Genomic DNA, 25,453 nt, shown 5'->3' with positions numbered 1-25,453 from the left:
ACCTGTTGACAGGCTGGGTGCGGCGGCTCATGCCTCAAATCCCAGCACTGGGAGGCTCAGGTGGGAAGATCACTTGAGGTCAGGAGTTTGAGACCAGCCTTGCCAACATGGTGAAACCCCATTTCTACTAAAAATACAAAAATTAGCCAGGCGTGGTGGCAGGTGCCAGTAGTCCCAGTTACTTGGGAGGCTGAGGCAGGAGAATCACTTGAACCCGGGAGGCAGAGGTTGCAGTGAGCCGAGATGGCACCATTGCATTCCAGCCCGGGCAACTACAGCAACTCCGAGGAAGGGAAGGGAAAGGGAAAAGGAGAAAAGAAAAGGAGGAAGGAAAGAAGGAAAGAAAGAAAAAAAGAAAAAAGACATAAACCTATTGACTTGGCAATTCCGCTTCTGGGAGTATCCTACAGATCTACTGGCAATGGAAATATCTTCACAAAAGAGGTTTTTCATTGCAGCACTATTTCCATTTGTAAACAAAAAATTTCAACAGTTATTAACAGAAGACTAAACAAATTATGTTATCCAAACAATAGGATATAATGCTGCCCTCCCCAAAATAAAAATGAATGGGTTCTTTTATGTTCTTCCCTGGAAAGAACCACAAAATCACGACACATCGTTCAGTGAAAATGCTGAGTCTGGAACCGGTATACAGAATGCCTCTGTTTGTGTTTAAAAAGTACAAGAGGCAGGGCATGGTGGCTCACACCTGTAATCTCACACTTTGAGAGGCTGAGGGAGGGGGGCAGATCACGAGATCAGGAGATGGAGACTATCCTGCCCAACATGGTGAAACCCTGTCTCTATTAAAAATACAAAAATTACCTGGGTGTGGTGGTGCGCGCCTATAATAATATCAGCTACTTGGAAGGCTGAGACAGGGGAATCGCTTGAACCAGGGAGTTGGAGGTTGCAGTGAGCCGAGATGGCACCACTGCACTCCAGCCTGGTGAAAGAGTGAGACTCTGTCTCAAAAAACAAAAAAGAAAAAGGAAAAGATAGGGTATAGAATAGATACAGATACTTGTTTATGTATGCATGAGACATCTCTGCAGGGATATACAAAAATAATAACACAGTTGTCCAGGGGACAGAAATATCCATTTATGCTTCTCTGAGTTGTGACTCTGTTACCTATTTTTAAAAAATAAAATTTAAAAATGAAATGAAACAACAACAAAAAAGAGGTAAGGATATACAGCTTAGTGCAGTGCCTGGAATGAAATAAGTTCTCAGCAAGTATTAGTGGCTTTTGTTACAATAATAATTACCATCATCATGGCAGCCTTTATCAGACACTCAGTCTCCTGCTGTGTCCTCAGTAATAGCCCTGATATCATGGGATGTCCTGTATTCCTTACATGTTGTCCTTATGCTAACTTCCCTTTACCCTTCCCCATTATCAGCTAAGGAAGCCGGTTCATCACTTTAATCCTTTCGATCTGAAGGAGCCTGCCATCTATGCAAGGTAGATGTAGGGATGTTGACAAGCACGAGACAATGAAATGCAAACTTCTGGGTTCTCTTCTTACACAAACCCACCCAAGCCACCTCCGCCAGCACACCAGTCATCCTGTGCACACAGAGGATTTCTTTAAGGGAAGTCCTGGCACAGTGCAGTGGGAGGGGAGAGCATACTGCTTTGCATCTACTTTCCATCCATGGTCCCTGTTCCATCAGGTATAAAACTCTGCAAGCAAGAAAGAGGCGATTTTACAGATGGAAAGTAGACACATGGGCCACTTGCTGTGGTTTTGCTTCTGTTGCTACTCTGTCTCCACACCCCTATACCCACTCTGACAGGTGTGTGGCTGTTAGGCACATAGGAAGAAAATGTATTCTGGAGCACTTTGTAATTTTAAAATACTGTCTTTGCAAGGTACTATTGTAAACCCGTACAGAACAGGTGTTACATCATACATGTCTTCTGTATTCCTCCTAGAATGTAACTTAGCGCTAATCAATGCACAGTAGTTCCTCAATAAATGCTACTTAGTTGAATGAAAGTGCAGTACAAATCAGTTACGCATATTACAGTGCAGTTGGAAGATTCAAAGATCTTTACATGGTGCTCTCTAACCCTGAGTAGAATATTTTTATGCAACATAAGCAATTTCCAGGTCTGGTTAGGAAAATGTTACATCTTTTTATGTATACGCACTCATTCAGAGATATGTGTGGTAGAAATTGGGAGGAATGCATTCTCCACTCTGTTAAGAGATAGTTGCAGTGGAAGCATTGACAATGGATTCTTGGTGCCTCCTTCCTGTTGCCTGGATCGTGCCTCAGAGGTGCTCAGGGAATCATTTCTGGAGGCCAGGACTTGAAGTATTCCTTCGATGCTTCCTGGGATTTTATAAGCCTCTTATTTCCAACATAAAATCTCTGCCTGCTTAAAATACCTGGAGTAGTTTCCTTCTCTTGCCCTGGTCTCTGACTGATCATTTCTCAATGGAATTGTCTTACTCATATTTGCACATTCAGTGGCCAGCACGATATCTGGCAGCAGGTGCTCAATAAATATTTCCTGAAAGCTAATGAAATTAAAATATATGTGTAATTTCTTGGCAACCAGAGATTTATTAGTACTACAGACCATCCAAGCATGTCTGGTCTCCTGTGTTTAGTTTTCAAACCCAGGTCTTGGTACCAGATATCCTGCTGTTTGGGAAAACAATGTAACAACGTTTGACAAAAGATATCCAAAATCTCTGAGGGACAAAGGGCACCTTTCCTTATACATTGACCCGTGGTTTATATAAGCACGGGCGCTGATAACACACTGGCGTTATTAACAAAAGAAAATTCTATGATCCTGACATGGTCTGGTGATTTAGCACCTGCAGGTAACTTTTATTCTGAATCTTAATTTACTACCCACTGGTGACCCTTGTATAAAAATCAGGACAGGGGAGATTTGATCTTGCATGTAAATTTTATGTTTTGTCTGCTGGCAGATTTATGGTTTGGGCTGCGCCCAGCGCATTCAATGAGGGAGAGCCACATAATGGCCATACGTGTCATCACCCAGCACATTAAGCTGCCTTGCAATATCCCAGATTACAGTAGTACATTGCAAAGCATGGCCATTTGAAGGTAATTCATTCCAAATTCAACTTGGATTGCTTTTCCTCTAAAACTGACAGAGGGCTATGCAACAAGATCATCGGTGTGTGTCTCCATCCTAAAAATGAATTTCTTGTTTTTGGAGTGCTTACAACAAGAGGCTAGGATATTCAATCCATAGAGAGAGAGCAGGACAGGGTGAGAGAGAGATCGAGATATCTCGAGAGAGAGAGCCTTGTAAGATCACCTGCCCCAAACAAAAGAAAACAGAAATGCCACAGAGACAGCTGAAAAGAGTGAGTAAGAGAATGGACATTCGGGCCATTCAGATCTGGGGTCCTAACTCTAACTCAGCAGGGTGTGCCATGGACAGGTAACTCCACTCCCTGAAGCCTCAGTTGCCCAAGTGTGCTGTGTACTTGCCCTCAGGCTCATCGTGAAAATTTATGGTGCTACGTACCCAATGCTTAACAAAAGATAAGTACACAGTGTGAGGGATGATTACTTTTTTCCCTGCCCAGTCAGTTCTTCTCGAACTTTTTCCACTAAACAACTTAATGGCAAAGAAGAGTCTGCTTGTTTTCCTGGAGAAATAGACAGCAGCTTTTCCGGGGTCAGAACCTACAGTGACCCATAAAGAGCTCTGACTTATTTGAAGTCTGATATTTATTTTTAAACATCAGATATACTATTGTAATACATCTGTACTTGCTTTAAGTAGACTATGTGATTAAAATTGACACTCCAGGAGTGATTATGGGGCACGTGCATGGGTTGAAAATTTGAGTTGTGCAATTGTGATGTGTGCTTTTCTGTATATGTGTGTGTATCATACTTCAACAAAAGTTATTTTAGGGACAGGCGCGGTGGCTCACACCTGTAATCCCAGCACTTTGGGAGGCCAAGGCGGACGGATCACAAGGTCAGGAGATGGAGACCATCCTGACTAACATGGTGAAACCCCATCTCCACTAAAAATATAAAAAATTAGCCGGTCATGGTGGCGGGAACCTGTAGTGCCAGCTACTCGAGAGGCTGAGGCAGGAGAATGGCGTGAACCCGGGAGGCGGAGCTTGCAGTGAGCCGAGATCGCGCCACTGCACTCCAGCCTGGGCAACAGAGCAAGACTACACCTCAAAAAAAAAAAAAATTTAAAAATGACTCTTCAGGAAAATACCCTTGGTTTATTCTGAAGCTCTGAGGCGACCCCTACGGTAACCCTCCCTTGTTCACAAAGCTTGTCACAAAGGAAGCAAAATCTGCATTGAAGTGACAGTATTACTGGGGAAAACAGTAAGACTTCTTCACATGATGGGGGACATGGTAGAGTCAGGAGTTTATCACAGCAGATGTGGATTGGTGCTGACTGCCAATTCCCAAACGCTCATTTGGAAGCTCGCAGTTCAGGCAATTAGGGCTGATTCTGTGCTGTATTTGAAATACAGGATTTTTTTTTTAACCAAAACTCATCATCCACAACCATTGAGTCAATGCGCTGGTTCATTTTTTCCAGTGGCTGACCTTTAAGTGTCAATTATAAAGTTTTATCATTTTTACCCCCTTTTCGACATTACCCCCTTGGGAAGGAAAGAATTCAGGGCTAAGAAGAGTACAGAATTTGAGGCCAGAATTTGATTAGAAACTGCAATTATAAAATCTCTAAACCCAAACACCATAAACAAATTTCCAAGAACAACATTAACATCAATAGCACAGATTCCCAGGCCTAAATATGATTTTATAAAATTCCTGAAAAGATAATTCATAACATTATTATGAGGGCATGGGGTTGTATGACCTTTAAGATTCTGTCTAGCTTTAAATGTATATGGAATATATTGATCTTGAAATAATGCCTAGGCTACTGCGTCCCAAAATGTTTTATAAAAATAAGGGTGGCGGTGGGTGAAGCTCATGTGAAATACATTTGAGAAATGCAACACCTTATCTTCTGCTCCCAGAGCTCTGTGAGTCATATTAAAGGCTCTGAGAAGTCCTGCAGCAAGTAAATACGTTTAATTTTCTTTAACCCAGCATTTCCCTAACTTATCTGATATGTAATACCAAAGAATCATCTAGAAATTGGGGAAATGCTAAGTTCACCCTGGTGAGCTGCTCTACTAGTTGTCACATTTAGTGTGGAGCTTCTAAAGCAGGATGCTAATGCAATGGCCTCCGGGCCGCATGTGGCGCATATTCATGCATCCTATGGCTCTCTGGAGTTTTGAATTTTTACTTGTGAATTTTATATTACACTGAACTCTTCGGGGCAAGTTGTTATCATAGATCTCCTTGGGCTGACAGTGATTATACTGTAACTCCATAGTCCCACAGAAAGTAGAGCTGTCAGGAACTGTGAATAACAGTCATTCCATATTTGGTTGAAAGTGGGAAACAGGCTGAACTGAAAAAAGAGCTCACATTTGCACAAACAAAATCTAAGAAGCTCTTGCCTTCTGCCTCTCCACGTACTTTTTCTCCTCATTCTTCTTCTAAACCTCCTTATTTTTCCCCGTTTCCCTCCTTTCCTTCCCATCCTATTTTACCCAGTACATCTTTATCAATGTCAGGGGGTGGTAAAGTTTCTCTGTAAAGGGATCAGATGGTAAATATTTTAGGTTTTCACGGCCATTTGGACCCTGCTGTAACTACTGATTCTGCCACTGTAAGGTGAAAGCAACCATAAATAACACGCAAACAAAGGAGTGTGGTTGCGCTCCATTCCACTTTATTTGCGAAAACGGGTCGTGGGCCAGATTTGGCCTACGTGTTGTAGATTGCCTATCCTGGATCTACGCTTTAACTGGCCATGCTAAGGAAGGCAAACATGTTTCTTCATGTTTTTTAACTCCTTGAATGATGTTACCCATTTTCCTGTTGCTAATCCATTCCCAATACTCTTCTGTAAAACCGATTCTCATTTCAAAGCTGATTCCAAATCCCACCTCCATCAGAGAGCCTCCCAGAACTGCCCCCAGCCACCTACTCTCAATTAGTCTTTCCCCTCACACTCCTAAGTCAATGTAAATCGACATAAATCCTAGTACTTCACACTCTGCTTTTTCTTAGAATTTAAAATATCTTGTCTATTTCAAATGCAGTATCTCTCATGCTTGCAGCTCAAGCCTTACACACAGTTTTCTCTCAGTAGATTCAAATGTCTGAAATTCTGATTTAATTTTTTTAAGGAGAAAAATTTCTAGGAATAAAAATCAATCACAAAAAAAAACCTAAATAAGGATGCTTTTTGAACGAGGTGCTTGATGAGCGTTTTCTTGGAATTGATGAGTGCTGCAAGGGAAAGTAGCATGAAATGGAAAATAATCTGAAGAATATAGGAAGTACCTTTCTCCTCTCATGCCTCCAAAACATATGCCCTACTTATGCCGCCGTAGTATGAGCACCAGGGCTTTTGAGACATACCAACTAAATTTATTCTAACAGGGACTCACTCATAACTCCTAAAAAGCAATGCCTTCAAAGGAAAAGCAAGGGACACTCACCTTGCAAAACCATCAAAACTATTCCCACAGACGCCACATGAGCCCCCATTTATCTGACTTAAAAGAAGCAGGGTCTGCTGGGATTCGAATCCTCTGGTTCCAGAGAGAGAAGGTATTACCAAGACTTGCTTTAGCACACGGCTTAAGAGGCACGCCACTGGAATGTGCCTTGGCCCACTAGGTTTTCAACTAAATCTTCTCCTCCCTCCCAGATGCAAATGAGGTCATTACTGAGGCTTGGTTCCCCAGGAAGAACGGATGGGCTGCCGAGGAGTTAGGGTGCACCGAGGAAAGAAGGCGGGGAGCCAGCTCTCCAAAGATCAAAGACAGTTGTGGCCAGCCTGGATTAGGCTGTCAGAGTCACCATGGAGGGTGATGGCCTCACCTGTCGGTGACACTGCTTCTGTAAAAATGCTGTAGCTGCAGTGTGTTCTCAAAAGGGCTTGCTGGCTGGGCGCGATGGCTCATGCCTGTAATCCCAGCACTTTGGGAGGCCAAGACGGGTGGATCACCTGAGATCAGGAGTTCAAGATCAGCCTGGCCAACATGGTGAAACCCCATCTCTACTAAAAATAAAAAAATTAGCCGGGTGTGGTGGTGCACACCTGTAGTCCCAGCTACCCAGGAGGTGGAGGTTGCAGTGAGCCCAGATCACACCTCTGCACTCCAGCCTGGGTGACAGAGCAAGACCCCATCTCAAAAAAAAAAAGTGTTTGCTTAGGGTAGGGCATGGTATTGAGGGGTGGGGACCTGGAGTCCAGTTCCTGCTTACTGTGTAACCCTTGGAAAGTCATCTGACCTCTCCATCCACATTTTCCTCATCTATCAAATGCAAGGAGAGCACCTATTCTCTAGGGTTGTATTCATAGAAGTAAAAGTGCCTAGAATTGTGCCTCTTGATGTCTCAATTTCCTCACATGTAAAGAGGGGGTTAATGATGACATCTGATTCAAAGCCATTGTTGAATTAATATAAGTGCCTAGAACAGTGCCTGGTCCACGGAAAATGTGATATAAATGTTCACTATTATTAGTGATGATTAACAGGTAGGTAATTGTGTAAGGATCAAGAGGGGTGGGCAGAATTTTTCTGTAAATAGCCAAATAGTAAACATCTTAGGCTTTGCAAACCATACAGTTTCTGTTGTAATTAATTACTCTACTTTGCTGTTATGTAGCAGAAGTAGTTCAGACAGAGCATACATAACGAAGGCTTTGTTATAATAAAACTTTGTTTATGGACACTGACATTTGAATTTTATATCACTGTCACCTGTCACAAAATATCATTCTTTTGATTTTTGTTGTTTGTTTGTTTGTTTGTTTGAGACAGACTCTCGCTCTATCGCCCAGGCTGTAGTGCAGTGGCGCGATCTTGGCTCACGGCAAGCTCCGCCTCCCAGGTTCACGCCATTCTCCTGCCTCAGCCTCCTGAGTAGCTGGGACTACAGGCACGTGCCACCACACCTGGCTAATTTTTTTTGTATTTTTAGTAGAGACAGGGTTTCACCGTGTTAGCCAGGATGGTCTCGATCTCCTGAACTTGTGATCCGCCCGCCTCAGCCTCCCAAAGTGCTGGGATTATAGGCATGAGCCACCACGCCCGGCCCATTCTTTTGATTTTTCTAAAGCCATTTTTTTACCATTCTTAGCTCATGGGCCATACAATATAAGGCAGAGGCTGGATTTGGCCTGTGGGCCATAGCTTGCTGACTCCTGATTAAGACTGAAGGTTCTAGAGTGATCCCTATTATGTGACCTTGAGTGAATTAACTCCAAGCCTCAGTTTTTTTAGCTCTGAAATGGGATAATGTCCCCTACCTCCTAAAGTTACTATAAAAATTGACTGAATTAATGCGAAAAAGTCATCATGATTCCTGGCACATAATAAGTGTTCAATAAAAGTCAACTCTCATTATGAACAAAGTTTAACCACGTTTAACATGAGCTACATAGCCACTTTCTTAGTGGCAACACCAAAACACCAGTCTCTTCACAAGACCAGAACCAGGTTGTCACCATTTCCAATGTTGTTGGCATTGACCAGGCAGTGTTGGCAGCTGACAATTTGATGTCTCCAAATGAAAAGTGATTCTCGGCATCTATGTCCTTTAGACAGCCTGGAACTGGTCAGTTACAAACTACAAAGCGCACGTCCCCAACACTAAATCCCTGGGAATGTGAATGGTCTGCAGGTGACAGAAATCACTTGAGAATGGACCCACTCTCTTCCTCACTTTGGAGCAACTTGGAATTTCTAAAACATCAAACTCTGCACACTCCAGACAAAATATCAAAATATCATCTAGTCAAACAGCCAGACCCCATTTTCCTGTCTTCTTGAGATCTAGTTTGAGTTGTTCCTTCAGGTGGGAATATTTTAGGCTGGTCTTGGTGGTGGTGGTTGTTACTGCTTTGGTTTTTGTTTTCTCTTTTACTCTCCCTTTGAAAACATCAAAGCAAAGCCCAGCCTACCGTACGATTTATGGGATAATTGGAACCTGATCGCCTGCCAAGTCTCCCTGAGTCTTTAGATGCTCAAGCAGACCCATTCTTTAATGTTCTGGCCAAACTTGAGTGTCGGGCAGAAAATTCATATTTTTTTTAAAGTACACATTTCAAGATTAAATCCTACTAATTCAAACTGAGCCAATATTAGCACACCAGAGAAGGTGAGAGAAGGGTCTAGTTTGTGGAAATCTGGACCGTTAATCCTCCTCATCAGAAAAGGGTAGCAGAGAGATTACTTTCAAACAAATAAGCAACAGTGAAGGGAAGAGCAGCACTAGGGAGGGATTATTTTAAGAAAGGCTTGAGGCTCATCCAATAATCTGTCTCCCTAAAGCACTCCAGGTAGTAGTAGTCAAGGTAGTAACCACAGCAAGAGTAATAATAATACCTGACATGGACAACTGACATCATAAATCTTGCATAAAATGTGAATGAACACTTCTTTACAAACACTTGCTGTTTTATATTTTAACCCATCTGTAATATGCACTCCCCTCTGGAACAGTCCGTGCCATGTATAAGGCAGCCCACAATCAGCCCCTAACAGCAACACACAGCCACACTCCATTCAGAAGCCCTGCCAGTAGACAAGTGCTGGAGAACCATTGCCCACAGGGAGCTCAGGGCTTCCAGTGCCTGGGATTCAGAGAATGGCACCTCCCGGGGAGCCTAACTCTCTCATGCCCTCTCAGCCACTAAAGGGTTGCTGGGCTCTGCGTGTGGCTGCCAGCACCACCCCAGATGCGAAGGGACTCTTGTGAATCCCGACAGTTGCGATGGTATGGACAGGTGTCTGATTACAAATCACACTGCCATTATTTACCAGGCCATATCTGAGCACCCCTCAAATTACGAAGGCAGGCAAACAAATGGGAGACAAAGCAGATTGCAGTTCTCTCAGGTGGGGTTTTATTAAAAAGGTATCTTGCCTCCATAATTCATTAAGCCAAAGCTCAGTTTGGGCCAGCTTGGAACCCAAGATGGTTATTGCAGAGCAACAGCAGATCAACTGCTCTCCCTTCTGCCAAGGCGGAAGGGACTGGTCTGCCTTAAGAGCAACAAGAAATTGTTGAGAAGTTGCGCTCTGACTCATTATGGTTCTGAATTGTGTTTCATTATTTAGCAGTAAAAGGAGAAAATATTTTAAAGACTCAGTTTCCCTGTAACAGCAAAAACTTGGAAGTAATTTAATGTCTACTAATATGGAAATGATTCAAAGAGCTATTTACAATACCATGAAACACCAGGCTGCAGTTAAGAGGAATGAGGAAAAGCTACATTAATGCTGAAGAGAAACCTCTAAGACCTGCTGTTAAGTGAAAATATACACATTAAAAGTGGAAGAAGACAATTTTAAGAACAAGATATTCTAGCACAATGTGAATGTACCTACTGCCATTGAACTGCGTGTATATTTAAAAATGGCTGATGGTAAATTTCGTTATGTGCACTTTATCTCAGTGTTTCATAATTTTAAAAGACAAGGTGTTCTTATGATATCATCTATAAAAAACTAAGCTATATTTTCTCATATGTATGGCTTAAGCATGTGAATGAGTGTCAACAAGGTCAGATATTGACCTCCAGAGAGAGGACTTGAATTGAGGATAGAAACAGCACAGAATTTAGCTTTGGCAGCATTATACAAATGTCTTATAACAAGAATACAGCCATAGATACTATACTTAATAAATAATTTAAATGAAACCTGCAAGTGAAGATCAAGTTTCTTCTCTAAGATGGGGGTATTGAACTAGGTCAGCATTTCAACCATTTCTTCCTTTAATAGTGATATCCATGGCATTGAAAGATTTGTGTTTATGGAATTACTATAATTACTAGGCATCAAATTGATCCCATGCAATTCTTCTTCATCTAATTTCTTGAAAAATATTATTTAACAAATATTTATATGGTGCTTGCTATGTTCCTGATACTATTCCAAGTGCTTCACAACTGTCAGCTCATTTAATTATCACACCAACACAATGACGTAGGGCTATCATTGCCCCCACTTTACAGATGAGGAAGACAAAGCACAGAGAGGTTAACGAACTTATCCAAGGCCATAGAGCTAGTGAGCGAGGCAACTGGAACTCTAGTGCAGGCTCCTGAGTCCATGCTCTTCGAAACAACTCCATGCTGCCTCTCTTGTCATTGTCTACGATTCCTCTCTACTAATCTCCTTACTGTTCTTCACAGATACCAAGTTGATTCCTACCATGGGGCCTTTGCACTTGCTATTTCCTCTCCTTATAATGCTCTTCCCCAGACCTTTGTATGGGCCAATCTTTCTAATGGCTTAAGTCTTAGCTCCAGTGTTGACTCCCCAGGAAAATTTTCTCTGATCATCTTATCTACAGTGACTCTCCCTCATCTCGTTCCCTCTACCACACTATTTTACCTCTCTTATGGCAGTGACCACTATCTGAAATTATTTTGTTGCCTTTTAAAAATTATGATTAATATTTTGTTCACCTTTTTGTCTTTCTCCAAATAAACTGTGAGGTTTGTGAAGTTAGGAAGCCTGTCTGCCTTGTTCACCACTGTGGCCCTGGCTCCCAGCACACAGCAGGTGTTCAAGAAGAATACTATTGTAGAAATGACTTTGAAATCATTCATTTACTTTTAAAAATAATATATAGTTAGATGGCTTTGATACTTTGATTATTAGGATCAAATCACTTGCAACACAGCTCACAATGAGTGGAGACATCTGTTGATGGGACTAGAGAGTCTTTACGACAAATGTTTTAGTCTATCAAGAAAAACTACCCACCTTGAAAGGAAATGATACCATTAATGCACGGCAGCAACATAATTTTGGGTGGTAAGGACTCCTAGACCCTGTGACAAAATCCTCAGCAACACAAGGGCACAGACGAGTGACCCAGCAGCACCCAGGATTCAGCTGTTTATCTGGTGTGGCTAAGTGCTATATTTGCACGCAATTTAAACGCTGGTTTTCTCTGGTCTTCTAGTCTCCTTTCATTAAGCACTTTTGAATTCTTTGCTTTAAAAGAAAATAAGAGAAAATATCCCATAGCATGTTCCAGATATTAAGAATCTAAACAAGTAATCTCCAAGAGTAAAGTATGAGATATTGAACTGGGTTCCCTGGAGCAGCAGTCTACTGCATGCAAGTAATTTTAGGAAGATGGAATTGATTTCTGACCTTATGCCTTGGTGTATTTATAAGCATTTGTATTTGATGAAAAACAGTCAAAATAAAGGGCAGTTTGATTTTTCAAGAGTTGCAAAGTATAGACAAGGATAGCAGGGGGTAACTTGCATATTATCTGGCAAGTGGACAAAGGAAAGTACTGATGACAGCAGGCAAAAAAATAGCAATAACCAAAACCAAACAAAATTTCCCATTTCATTGTTTTTCCTTTTTATTTTAACCTTGGTTGGATGAACTCAAGACAGACAGCTTTGTTCAATAAGCACAGTTCTCCTCCCTTTCTTATTCCCTCACAAGCCCTTAGGCAGATCTGAACATTATGTAGCTCAGGAAAATTTCCTTGGTTTCATTGTGAGATGGGTCTCATGGACCCAAGTGAGTAAGATTTGAAGGTCCCAGACCCTATTGAAAGAGAAATCCTGACACCAACTCCCACACCAAACTCTCAGGTAGCACTTAAGTGATTTCAGTAATTAGACATTAATCTAAAAAGATTAAATGAACATGTAGTGTATGTAACAGGAATCTATTATCCTTACACACACTTTTCTTTATAATTTCAACAAGTTTACAGTAAATCCAAGCTCTTCTAGCTCAATGACCTTACAGAAATTTAGATACCAAACTTGCTTTGCACAAGTAGAGAGAGAGAGAGTATCACAAACAATTTACAACTTGAAGGCCTGTGATTAAGCCTTTAATAAGATTCGGCTTCCATTTCAAAGGTCCATCTCAACGTTCATAAGGAGTGATGAGTCTGATAAACATGGTTCAAGTCAGACATAAACAGAATTGGGAATTTCATGCTATATCTACCCCATAGCAAATAAACTCAAGAATGGGACAAGGCAGGAGGCTGTACCAATGGAGCTGCCAGCCCTAGAGAAGGCAGTTGGTTCCTCAAACACTAGGGAAGTTGTTTGAGAACTGTTCGATGATCCAACGAAACAGCAGCCTTCTTGGTTGCCAAGCCTTTGGAGACAGGTCTTATCAAGGAGTACCAATCACATGATTTAGTTGAAACAGCCTAGAGGTAATTTCAGGATTCACATCTGAGATTTGGGGGAAATTCTAAAGCCCATGTGACTTTGCCAAAACAGAAAACTCTCATTCCTGACAGTTTGTGTTTTGTCTGAATATACAGTTTCTCATGGCATTTTCCAATCCCTTTTCTTGCAAATACTCTACTGCCTCTCCTTTAACCATCCCACCCCACACAGTAGGCATGAGAGTAGCATCAATTATCTCCTCAATGCAGATGCCAAAAATTGCAGCAACAGAATTTTATTGAGATACCTACTCTGGATAATCATTGTGATCAGAGGTAACTATCATTTGTAGAGAGGTGTTTGCAACTCTGCCTGGGAGAAAGATTCTCTTCCTTCCAAAGAATTCACCAAGGACCTCTATGTTTCATACCTCTCAATTCTTCTACAGTGAACAAGCACAAAGATGGTGGCTCACTTAATATTTACTAAAGGGCCCCACTGTCCCGGGGCCTACACCTGGGCACCACAGTAGAAGTAGCCCTCATGCTTGGAAACCACAGTAAAGGGTACAAACCTTGCTGAGGCATTCTCTTGGCTGCCATTAGAAAATAATATGTAATTAGAAAAATATGCTATATGCATAATGAGTGGGTAGTAGTAAATCACACAAATAAATGCAGAAGGTAACTGATGAACAGAAGCTGACTCCAAGGTTGAATCTAGTAAATTATCAAATTCAGTTGACACTCTCATGACAGGGCTCAAATTTGCTATTGTCTTAGCCCCAGAGCTCATTAGCAGTTACGTGGACCCACCTGAAGCATACATCTTTCCCTGTGCTCCCAGAACTTTCTAAGACCCAGCTCTGTCAATACACCTTTAAGAACCCCCAACTGGCCATTCAATGGCCTCCTCTCCTCCAGCCCCACAAGTCTCCAGACCGTGTGCTCTCTGCCAGCCCCACTTCATTTCATGCTCCCAGCAATGCTTTGAGGTGGGCATTGTTACCGCCATCTTTACCAATCAGGAAACAGTCTGGGGAGGTTTAGTAAATGGCCCAGTTATACAGTCAGTGAGCAAAGGAACAAGAGTGTGAAATCAAGCCTGCCTGATCCAACACGTTTGCTCTTTCCCTTCCATTGCTCTAGCCAGATGGAGAACAATATTTTACTTCTTGAAAAGTGCTTGTGGTATAAAGTGAAAACTCAGGAACTTTGTACAGAACTATTCTGTAGAAAGCACAAGAAAGATGTCTTTGGACTCCAGAAGGGAGGCCAATAGGAAGATAGAAAGAAACATGGTGGCACCAGGAGGTGGCAGAAAGAGCCACATGGATCCTAACATTGCTCCTGTCTGTGTGCACCCGCAAATTTTCAACAGTTCCTATGCTCACCAATTGCTAGGGTGTGAGTTGGTGTTCTGTGGAAACCAGGGAAAGACCTGGGCTTTGTTGTTTGGATATTAACTAACAAAGATCAAAGCAGCATGCCCAGATGAGGGCAGAGTAGAGGCAGAAAGACACAGGCAGAAATGAGGGGATGCTGGACTCACAGGGTCTGGTACAAATGGAGCTGAATCTCCAAGGGGCGAGGAAGCTTCTGACTTTTATCTAATGAAGCACTGAGCTCCAGTGTGTCCCCAGAGCCACCTATGTGTTTGGTGTTATCCTCACCCCTCTTTCCTTCTCTCCTACTGACCCTTTTACCGTCCCCCAGCCAAGGAGCACTCTCTTGTTCTCAGAGGTCCAAGATTTTCTCTCACCTCCCACCAAACCCCCATAAAGGGAAAAGGCTTAGAAAATATTCATTTACCTTAAGGAGTAAAAGTGATTCAGTGCTAACATTATCACCCCTCCAGGGCTAAGATCTTCATTTTTCAAGCAAAAAGGAAAGGAGCTGCTGAGGTGGAATTCCAGGCAATAAAGAACAAGTCAGGGCTTTCCTGAATGTTTAGGAAGCTCTACTTTCTTTTTTGCTGATGATGGCCAATCCTACACCTAATATGATATCTCTTGTTTTCTGGCTTTAAGAAAAAAAATCTATTTAATGAAATTAGGAGTTTGGGGATAGCCAAAGACACACAAACATGAAGATATAAATTGCCAAGGGCTCTGAGGTGGATGCTCTATGATTGCATTTATTTAAATGGATCCTCCTTTGGCTAAATAGCATATGTAAGAAGATTATATAGTATTTAAAAAGAAAGCTATAAGAACACACACAGAGGTGTACACAAAGTGGAAAATGAAGCTACAGAATAGCAAAGATTCTATAGAGCATTCCTCTTGTTTTTTTAAATTAAAGTGTATGCGTGTCTAACTAGCATTCTTTCCTTTTTCTAGTGCCAGCAACTCCCTTCCTTCAGTTCATGTGGTACTGTCATTTGCAACATCCAATGATAACCACCACCCCACCTGGGCACAGAGATAAGAAGTAACCCAAGTCCAGCCTGTTAGAATCCCCACTAGCTGCAGAGATTGGTCTAAGCAGTAGGAACATGGCCAAAACAGAGCAAGAAGTCACTGTCCTTCTCAGGGATTGATCTACAGGATTGTGGCTACAGACACTCCTCCCTCTACAGGAATCACTGAATAGGTGCATTGTGAGTCTGGGGGTGTGGGTGAGCATCTTTCCTACCAAGGGAAGGAAATCCATCTGCAGTTGATTGAAATGAAAAGAGAAGAACAACTAAATGATGGAAAAGGCAAAAGGCAGAAAGAAGAGGGAAGACTTCAAATTAACCCCAGGATCGAATCATGCCAGAAACCAGATCCACACCTGGACTTCCCAATAACATAAGCGATTGATTTCACTTTGGTGTAAGCTAGTCTGAGTTGGGTTTGTCTTGTGCAAGTAAAAGAACTCTCCCAGATACCATGAATGTATACATAGATACCTACATATGACCCCTCCCCAAATTCAAAACATATCCAGGCAGTTTAACAGTACTTACATCTGATTGAGATTTGAATTAGGGAAAAAAAATTATCAACCTTATTCACTAATTTTAACTTTTTACAATAAGCTATTATTTTATGATTTTTTAGTAAAAAATGTTTTTTTTTTCATAAACAGAATCTGTATTCACTCTTAAGGTGGGAACCATGGCATACACTGTAGGCAGCAATATTTGAAACAGGCAAAACTGCAGATGCTGTGCAAAATCACACCTCTAGTCTGTTTGCTTGATTCAGTTCATTGTATAGTGAACGGCTGCAAACTACAGTCTTCCAGAAATGTAATTTAGCCTCCCTTCATCTTTGCCATTTCTACTAAAATGCTCTTCTTCCATGTAAATATTACTCTGGGCACTAGAAAATCAAGATTTCTTACAGATTCCAGCTTGTCGCTCTATCATTCGAATAACCCCCAAATTATGCTCCATTTTCTCTCTTTATGCCAACTAAGAACAAGCAAGTTACCTCTGAGGAATACATAACAACATGGCCAGATTCTGTCAGATTAAAATATGAGACAAATTAACCCTCATTAAGAGAATGCACCTGCAACACTGCCTACCAACTGTGAAAAAACAACTGGCCGCATCTCTGAGTCCGTATTGTATTCACCCCTCATTAAGCAAACCCCCCTGGATTTTGCTGAACAGCCACTGCCGTGAGAGGCTCTGCAGTAGACCGCTCCGGCTGGACTGCACGGAGGTGGTTTTGCAGGCACATTGAGGCTTTTCAGTCTGTTCTAAAATGCATTTTTCATGGAAAACGGAGGGAAGTTTGATTTTAGAAATGTATCTTTATTTTCTCGACGAGAAAAAAAGTTAACATGTTTAAAGGATGCCAGTTACTGTCTGGTTTACTCCTTGATTTTTAAAGCAAAATATTTTTGGTAGATAGTTTCCTTTCTGATGCCTTATGTTGCTCAGAGTCTCAAGTGGCCACAGGATCGTGTTTTGCCAAGGTTAAAAGAAGGCCTAATCTTCTGCTTTAAAATAGGATTTTTTTTCTCTCCTACTAAAGAGATTCCATTTCTAAGTAGAAGGTACAATGTTCCTGATGTAATTTCTCTGAGTTGATAACAGCAATGTGAAGGCCTGTGCATTTTCCTCATCGGAGCTCTTTGATTCCTCCAAACTTTAATAAGTTCAGGGGAGTCAGTGTCCTCCCCAAGGTCACACCACCAGAAAGCTGTGGAGCTGGCATCTGAAACCAGGTGCGTTTCATTCCAGAATTCACATTTGTAATTACAATGCTATAGTGCAGGGGCAGGCAAACTACAGTTTGCAGGGGCCAGATCCAGACCACCTTCTATTTCTATAAAGTTTTACTGGAGGCCAGGCACAGTGGCTCATGCCTGTAATCACAGCACTTTGGGAGACTGAGGCGAGCAGATCACTTGAAGCCAGGAGTTTGAGATCAGCCTAGCCAACATCATGAAACCCCAGCTATCTCTACAAAAAAATACAAAAATTAGTGGGTATGGTGGTGCATGCCTGTAATCCCAGCTACTTGGGAGGTTAAGGCATGATAATCGCTTGAACCGGGGAGGTGGAGGTTGCAGTGAGCTAAGATCACACCACTGCACTCCAGCTTAGGTAATAGAGCGAGACTCTGTCTCAAAAACAAATACATAAATAAAGTTTTATTGGAACACAGCCTCACCATTTGTGAATGTACTGGCAAAGGCTGCTTTCAAGCTACAGCAGCAGAGCTAAGCACAATAAGTGCTCACTTAACACCAGTGATAGGTGTTTGGAAACTGTGGCACTAAGTGAAACCATGTATAACCAATTTTTTTCCTCATCAACATTATAATGAAATGATGTTAGTTGAGGACCTGCTGTACGTTGTTTCATTTCGTTGCAGTTTCCAAGAACCTATTAATAACATTAAGTGAAGACTTACTGTATTTGTGACAAAGACCCCTTGGCCTGTAAAACCAAAAATATCTACTCTCTGGCCCTTTACCAAAAAGTTTGCTGACTGTTAGCACCATACAATTCCCTAGTTCACGTGAAAACCGGAGCTCTACTCAACATCACAGGAGACCAAAAGATGTCACTGATAATGTTCATTGCCAAAAAGAACCCCACCTCATGGCAGATACCAAGCCCAGGGGGCTGCCTTTTATGCCGTGATGACCCAGCCTTATCTGACCAACTCAGCTCTTTCAAAGACTGCATTCTGGCCCACAAAAGAAGGTTCCTGCTTACTGGAATCAAGAGGTCAAAGGTAAGAAGACCCAGAGGTCTTTCTGGATTGTGCACAAGCTCCTTCCCTCTTCAGCTACCCCTACCCCCAACCCTCTCACACATAAGGCCCACTCCAGATGTGGCAAGGACTCACAGGTGTTCCAAATACTATCTGTCAGCTTTTCAGTGATGGCCTTTTACTGAGAGTGGGGAGACTTAAAGGATAAAGATGCTGAGCAAAACAAAAAAGGATGCCAGGCACAGTGGCTCATGCCTATAATCCCAGCACTTTGGGAGGCCGAGGCAGATGGATCACCTGAGGTCAGGAGTTTGAGACCAGCCTGGCCAACATGGCGAAACTCTGTCTCTACTAAAAATACAAAAGTTAGACAGGCACGGTGGCACACGCCTGTAGTCCCAGCTACTTGGGAGGCTGAGGCAGGAGAATTGCTTGAACCGAGGAGGTGGAGGTTGCAGTGAGCTGAGATGCTGCCACTGCACTCCAGCCTAGGTGACAAAGCGAGACTCTGTCTCGAAAAAAAGAAAAACGAAAAAAAAAGAGGGCAAGAAGAAACTACTCTATCTATAGGACCTGCTTCCCAGAATTTTATTTGAGAGAATACCACCAAAAATGAGCACAACTTCAGTCTAATTGAGGCAAAAAGTCATATATGGTTCACATTTGTCATCATTTTTAACTATGCTAAAAAGTTATATACCTTTCCAGGCCAACAAATTAGATTCTAGAAGCTCAGGTTTCTTTGATATAATATTGCTCTGGTATAGGTTTTTCATTTATCAGATACTTATTGTGCACTTACTATGTTCTCAGTGCATGAGATACAATGGTCCCTGTGCTCATGGAGCCTCCATTCTAATTGAGAAGAAATAGAAATAATAAATAAGAATATTTTAGATAGAGGTAGATGTTTATGAAGAAAATGAATAGGATGTTTAGTATGGAGTAATGGTGATTGGAGATAACTTTAGGCAGGAAACAGAGGCATCTACCTGCTATGCACCAGGAGTTGCGGTATATGTTAGTGACACAGTTGGGAAACAGTAGCCAGAGAGAGAAGGATGAGGTCAAACATCAGATCTACATAAAGGTGGCTCAGAAATGAAGATAGAGTTGTCCTACAAAGCTAGGCCTATGAACCATCTCTGGTGGTAGAACAACAAAACATTTTGTAGGGAGGCCTTTCGTCCCCTATGATGTCACCACAAATATATTACTTCCTTCCTTACATCTCTCTTGTTCCAGAAATAATTTTTGGTAACTGCATCAAAAACCTAGGAATGACAATATAAGTATCCAACAATGGTGAAACAGTTCATTAAAATGCAGTGTAATTTTTTTTTTTTTTTTTTTGAGACGAAGTCTCGCTCTGTCGCCCAGGCTGGAGTGCAGTGGCATGATCTCAGCTCTCTGCAACCTCCACCTCCCGGGTTCAAGCGATTCTTCTGCCTCAGCCTCCTGAGTAGCTGGGACTACAGGTGCCCGCCCACACGCTCGGCTAAATTTTTTTGTGTTTTTAGTAGAGACGGGGTTTCACCATGTTAGCCAGGATGGTCTTGATTTCCTGACCTTGTGATCCGCCCTTCTCGGCCTCCCAAAGGGCTGGGATCACAGGCATGAGCCACCGCGCCCAGCCTAAAATGTGGTGTAATTTAAAAGGTGTTGCAGAAGACTATATAGTGAAATGGGGAAATGTTGCCAACATGTGATGTGGAGAAAGTAATTCTAAAACACTATTGTATTGTATAATGTCATTTTTGCTAACAATATGGGTGTATAAATACAAAAAACTTCCCATTAAACATTAACTGAGTGGTTATAACTGCATAACGGGATTACAGATGATTTCTATTTTCTCTTCGGTGCTTCTCTGGATTTTCCAAATGCTATTCTAACAAAATTTTTTTCTCTTTGTTAAAGGCAATTTGGAAACATTTTAGGCAATAGACATTGAGTCTTTCAGTCTCATGGATAAAGCTATCCCTGGACATCTGGGAGATGAGAAAAACAGGCAACCTCTGCCTATGGCCTGTGGACTTACTTCATTCAACACCCTGATGTGCGTTCCCTGCTTCCCGAGCAGCCTTCTGGGTAGGGCTTGGCTTTCCACGTGGTTCTGCTAAGAGGGACAGAAGCAGGTGGTCATCTGGGCATGGGCATTTCTATCTCTTTGGCAGCTGCAGTTTTCACTGGAAATGAATAAGTTAATAGTTTGTTTTCAGGTCACAGGAGCCTGGTCAGCACAAGTGCGTCCCTGAAAGACAGGCACAGTGGTGACGGTGCTGAGACAGGAGTCTGAGGCCCAATGCCTGAGAGCCAGACCCCGAACCAAGGAGAGCTTCTGTCCACACCCTAATTAAATCTCTAAATTGACACTTCCCATCATTAAGTAACAGTTCCTAAGAATCACCTGCCAAATGGTGACGTTTCCTGCTCTCATTTCTAAAACTAACCCATTCAAGGGTCAAAGGGTGCTCTCCAATTTTAGTCTCTCCTCTCAGGATGTGGTCTTCAAGCCCTCCAATCACACTTGGAACTCACCTTCATTCAATCTTCCATGACTCAAAGTTGAAAAATACTAAATACAGAAGAAAATAATACTAAACACTACACTTCCCAATACAACTTCAAGTAATAAGAGAATGTGATCTGAGTCTTAGAACAAGCTTCCACGGCAGTAGGCATGGCAGGCAGGCATCAGCAGCCCCATTGTATGAGTGAGGACACTGAAGCTCAGGAAGCCTCAGCTAGACCAAGGTTGCACAGCTTGTTAATGGCACAGACAGGCTTAGTCTTTGTTCTAACGAATGGCTCCAAACTAAGAGAACCATCTACTGGAGCCTGCCGGCCCTTGTTCTCTCTTCCCCACCCTCAAGTGTCCATCTTCATTCCCCTCCCACTCAGCAGTGACACCAGCTATTTGAAGACATGACATATAAAGGATTTGAAGGATGATGTTATGCTTTGAGCTCATTCCTACAGCCTAGAAGGTGCAAACTTAATAACCTATAAAAGTCCGATAGGTCATGTAAATAAAGCAGCAGTCAGTTCATGGGAGGGAATGGTCTGTGGGAACCTGAAGAGAGGATGCCCTATCTACACGGTGAAGTCTCTACAACCACTATATCAGAGGTCAGCAAACTGCAACCCATAGGCCAAATCCAACATGCTGCAAATTTTTGTATAGCCCATGAGCTAAGAATGGTTTTTGCATTTTTAAATCATTATATAAATCACCACATAGTATCCTTGATTTTGTCTTTTGACCTACAAAACCTAAAATATTTACTATCTGGCCCTTTACAGAAAAAAAAAAAGTTTGGCAACCCCTACACATTACAACCCATGTTGCCATGGATGAATGCAGGCCTGGTGTGGCCACATCTTCTAATTGTTCAAGAACTGTTATCTTAACTTTCCTATTAGTAAATGTTCATAACTAGCATTTGAACTCAATGCAACACAGGTCAACAATTTGCAGGCTTTCCTGTGACCTCAACAACTGAAAGGTAGAAAATAGACACTTATTTCAATTCATAACCATAAGTTCTTCAAATATCATTTTCCATGATCATATTTATTTTTATTATCTGTAAGGTGGGAATGAGGTATGGGGTTGCTGGAACACTTCACTCTAATTTTGAAATTACTAATGAAAGTTCATAGGGTTAATATAATGATATAATGAGATAATAGATACAGAACACCTTACACCCTTCATAAAGAAAGCACACAGTAAATATTAGTGACTGTTATTAATACTTATTATTTTCACTAACCATATTACCACAGTTTCCCTAAACATACTATGTTGTTTTCACTAAACATATCTACCAGATACTATGAATTACACTAGATGTTGCAGACACTAAGATGAGAAAGAAAAGCCACTCAAGCAACTTGGACCCTAACCAAAGAAAGTATGTAATCAGCTCATTTCAGTTAGGTGTTGAATGTGCCAATAGGGGCATATGTGAGGTGCCTTGGGAGCCCAAAGCAGGACCCATAACTCAACCTCAAAGGAAACAGGATGAGAATGGGTAGAGACAAGTCCAGAAGTGGGTGGTTATGGAAAGTTGAGGTGGCCTATAACACATAAACATTTTAAGTTTTTTAATGAGATAGTCTTGCGTTTTGTATCATTTTATTATAGGGAACAAAAAAAATTAGTCTCTTTGAGGTATCTAAATCTGGTTCACATTATGTAAGTATTGAACAAATTCCAGAACCAACTATATAATTACAAACCAAAGGAGAAGTAGATACTTGGGCATAATCTCTGTTGCTCAAAAACCAAAGCTGTCACATCCTCCTCTTTTGTGTAACAGCTGCCTGCAAACAAACTAGAGACCATGGGTCATCGCTATAGAAGCTCCTCTACTTATGAGTTTTCAACCTGTGAACACAAGTATTCACCAAAACCACCTCATGCCAGCGTCGCAGTCCATCAATAATTCCCTCTACCAGAGGGCATCTGCAGTTACTTTGCAGCAGGGGTTGGCAAACCCATGACTCAAGGGCCAAATCTGGTCCACTGCCTGTTTTTTTAGATGAAGTTTTATTGAAAATCAGCCATGCCTTTTATTTATATATGGCCTATGGCTGCTTTTGCATGACAGTGGCCGACTTGAATAGCTGGGACAAGCACTGAACAGCCTGCAAAGCCTAAAATATTTACTATCTGGCCCTTTATAGGAAAAGTTTGCCAACTTTTGCTTTACAGTCATTTTAGCCTTCAGAACAACTGGACATATATCTACCCACAGAACCTAAGCAAATAGACCTATTTGTCTATTAAAACTCTCCAAATCAATCATTAAGAATGAGGCTATTGTCCAACCTATGTAATGGATTTGCATTGCATAGTACTTTTCTGGGATAGCACCTTAGCTCAACAGTAACTTGGTGACAGCCACTGCTTGATACACACAAAACCATCCTCCTCTCATCTCCACGGCAGACATCACTAATCAATTGTGGCACTCTTTCTTGCCAAGGCCAGGGATGACCTCTGAATCCTTCTCAACACAGCGGTTCAGTCATCTACTACCAATAAATCAGAGTTATCCAAAGAAAGAAACCCGCCTGTCATTATGGGTTGTGATATTGGAGCAAGACTTTGAGAGATGTTTTGAGTGTTGCTAGCTAATTTCTTCCCTTGAATCCCATAACTTGGGCCCATGTCCACACTTAAGGCCAAGAGCTGACTTGATTTTCACGTTTGGTTCAGAGAAGGTGGAGAGAGGCTATATTTGTCCCATAGTGCTTCCTCAAAGTCTGTACTTAGATTTGAGAACTGAAGCTCCATTCAAAAGCCTCTGATTACTGAACATTTCTGTGGCTAAGATTTCCGCACTAAAACTGTATTTTTATTTTAAATCATTTTCTTTTCTTCCTGCATTTTCCATGCTACTGAAGCTGCCTCAAAGAAAGCCATATGAACATTGGGCACAATAGATATCTATGATTTGTAATTACTTCTGGCTTCTCAAAGTCAGGAAAAAATAAATAAAGGCATCCAAATGCATTGAATCGTTTGCTAGGTTCCAGTTTTCCAGTTCTTCTTCCACTCTGCTGCTCCCCAATAAAAATCCCCTTCCCTCAGAATCCGGCAGAAACCCAATATGCCTTTACACTCCCTCAACCACACACTTTATTATCTTAAGGTCAATACCTTTATAAACGTGCTTTTGACTGGCTTTTCTTAGATAACTTGAGGGCACTTCTTCTTTGCAAGCAATAAAAATAACCTGACCTGGGATGTTATCAAGATGAAAGTAATTACAAAGTCCTGAGCTGAACTGCCTGGGAAAGCCAGCACCCCTTATTGTTAATTCTTTGAACAAGGAGGACCTAGCTTTATGTAATTATCAGTCTCATGCCTGCCTTGTTTCAAAGGGGCCTCACCCTTAAAACATAGGTCATAAGAAATTATATATTTGGTTTTGCTAGCAATTCTTCATCACAGGTTAATATTTTTCCATAGTCATCTCATTGGAACTTTCCTACAGGCAAGTGGATATCGAGCCACCCTTACCTTTGTAAGTAACCTTGACAATTCAGTTTTCCACATAGTATCCTTTTTTCCCCTCTACCCCCCACTGAGATCTCAAGTTAGTTGGATGCTAAAGGCTATTCCAGCAGCATCAAGTTCAGTGTCAACAGTGTCAAACATAATGAAAGAAGCGGAGCATTCGAGGGAAATGAGCCTAACCTGTCCTTTTGGCATTTCCTCTATTCAGATTTTTCTGAATCATGCATCCACGGAGAAGAGCCCATTGGTGCTATTCCAGCAGACAGCAGTAAGGATGTCCATGAGCTTTATGTTGTTGTTGGGAGCTGGGATTCTACTCTTCCAGAAGAATATGACCTCAAAAGGAGCCACCACAGGTAGAAATCATGATCACTTGGGATGCTTTAGGACTAAGTTCCAGACATCTGTTAAGAACACAGACCTCTGGGTGTGAGCCACCCTTCTGCCGTTTTCCAGCTGTGTGACCTTAGCCAACATAGTCAAACTCTTTGAGCCACAGATATTTCACCTAAAAGTGGGGATAAGGAAGAGTGGTTGGAGGATGAAAGAGCTAAGACCAGTAAAGCATTCCATAACAATAGAGCAGCCAGGAGTTACTACCAAGACCTTGGCTCCTTTACCTAGAAAACCAGAGGGTTTCTTCTGAGTACATTCAAGATCCATCAGCACCAGCATTCTATTGGTCCAGTTATTGGAAGAAGAGACTCAAGGAGCCCAGCTGAAAATAACTTTAGCTTAATGGACTTTGGAGACTCAGAAGTAGGCTGGGAAGGGGATAAGGGACAAAAAACTACATATTGGGTACAATGTATACTATTTGGGTGACAGGTGCACTAAAATCTCAGATTCACCACTATACAATTCATCCATGTAACCAAAAACCACTTGTACTCCAAAAGCTATTAAAATATTTAAACTTTAGCTTAGAGTTCAGGAGATATGGGGTCCAAACCAAAGCCAATTCACTACTCTGACAAGTGACTCCTGACAAGTTACCCCA

The 25,453-nt window shown here is 41.7% G+C and overlaps 1 long non-coding RNA gene across 1 annotated transcript in view, besides 1 other annotated feature; it reads right to left on the bottom strand.

The window, feature by feature from the left end:
* The window catches only part of LOC107986098 (uncharacterized), a 222,236-nt gene that overhangs the window by 15,976 nt on the left and 180,807 nt on the right, over positions 1-25,453 (bottom strand). The gene's annotated exons all lie outside the window — the stretch shown is intronic.
* Positions 6,466-6,966: an enhancer, noted in NCBI's record as "H3K4me1 hESC enhancer chr3:73343679-73344179 (GRCh37/hg19 assembly coordinates)". NCBI's record gives its function as "activates a minimal SCP1, AML or CMV promoter by ChIP-STARR-seq in primed H9 embryonic stem cells {active_cell/tissue: H9 hESC(primed)}" and the evidence as "EXISTENCE:reporter gene assay evidence [ECO:0000049][PMID:30033119]".

This window comes from Homo sapiens, chromosome 3 (assembly GCF_000001405.40).
Source record: "Homo sapiens chromosome 3, GRCh38.p14 Primary Assembly".
NCBI classification, from domain to species: domain Eukaryota; kingdom Metazoa; phylum Chordata; class Mammalia; order Primates; family Hominidae; genus Homo; species Homo sapiens.
Note: the sequence above shows the minus strand (reverse complement) of the source record. Positions and strands in the feature narration are given on the sequence as shown.